This window comes from Homo sapiens, chromosome 11, assembly GCF_000001405.40.
Source record: "Homo sapiens chromosome 11, GRCh38.p14 Primary Assembly".
Lineage (NCBI taxonomy): Eukaryota > Metazoa > Chordata > Mammalia > Primates > Hominidae > Homo > Homo sapiens.
Genome location: NC_000011.10, coordinates 106,604,396 through 106,605,824, shown reverse-complemented (window position 1 = coordinate 106,605,824; position 1,429 = coordinate 106,604,396).

Below are 1,429 nucleotides of genomic sequence, written 5' to 3'. Positions count from 1 at the left end.
CTCTTCACTTTAGATGTAGAGGGTGAATATTAAACAGAAACGTGTTAGAAATGCATGAGTCTTCATTAAGAGAATGGCAAGAGGCCTTTTGAGGAAAGAAAGCCTTGGACTTTGAAAACATCATTCATTTGTGTGTGTGTGGGTGTGTGTGTGTGTGTGTGTGTGTGTGTGTGTGAATATATTTGCACTGCAGGACACTGAAGACTCTAACTGAATCTTTCACATTGTCATTTGAAATAACAATTGTCATTTGTGGGTTATCACTTTCCTAAATTTCATATTGACCTGGAAGACAAGGAAAGAAGGGCCAGCACTTTGGGCATCTATACACGGCTCCATCCAGGGTATAGCACATTTAAATAATTTGTATTAATTTATTATAGTGGACATTTTGGGATAACCCACCCAATCTATTCTGCCTTTCTGAGAATGTACCCCATTCACAGCCCCTCTGTAGGAAGCAACTCCTCACCACTAGCTGAGTCAGCTTGGGTTGAATGCCAACATAAGAAGCAACAGTGGGTAGACTGGGTTGAACTAATCGATTCTTTCTCTTGAGAAGTTGCCCTTGAGGGCACAGGGACTATTTGTTAGATGATAGTGGACAATTGAATTGAAAAGGAAAATATCAGGGCAAGTAGAGGAATGTGGAACCATGTGAAGCCAAACAAGAGAAAAAAGAAGGGGGCAAGGTGAGGAGGATACCTCATGCTTTAGAAGCACAGAAAGAATAATCTTATAACTGATTTTTCTGTCCTAGTGTCTGTCCCCATGTGGCTTGGCTTTATTTCATTTCTCATCCTTAAATGCTGGTGAGGTTGCTTTAGCCTAAAATAAATTCTCCTTAACTTAAGCTAGCTTAAACAGGCTTTTCTTCCTTACCACTTGATCCTGGGCTGATATATTATTTTATAAAAAGGTCTGTCTGGGCCAAGCGCAAGTGGCTCATGCCTGTAATCCCAGCACTTTGGGAGGCCAAGGTAGGTGGATCATCTGGGCTCAGGAGTTCAAGACCATCCTGGCCAACATGGTGCAACCCCCGCCTCTACTAAAAATATAAAAATTAGCCGGGTGTGGTGGCACGTGCCTATAATCCCAGCTAGTTGGGAGGCTGAGGAGGTAGGGGTTGCAGTGAGCCAAGATTGCACCACTGCACTCCAGCCTGGGAGACAGGGCAAGACTCTGTCTCAAAAAAAAAAAAAAAAAAAAAAAAATGTCTGTCTCAAGTTAACTCACTCTCCCTCCTCAAATCAGTCTGTACATGCAAACACAGCTTGTATGTGCATAAATTGACTCTTGGCACTTTAATCAAAAACATCATTTCTATTGGCCAGTGCTCACAATCTTAACTGGACAATGGCCACAAATGAGCAGCCTCTAGAGTCAAGCAAACTTTCTTACTATTTCCCCGTTACAGATAACAAAATTC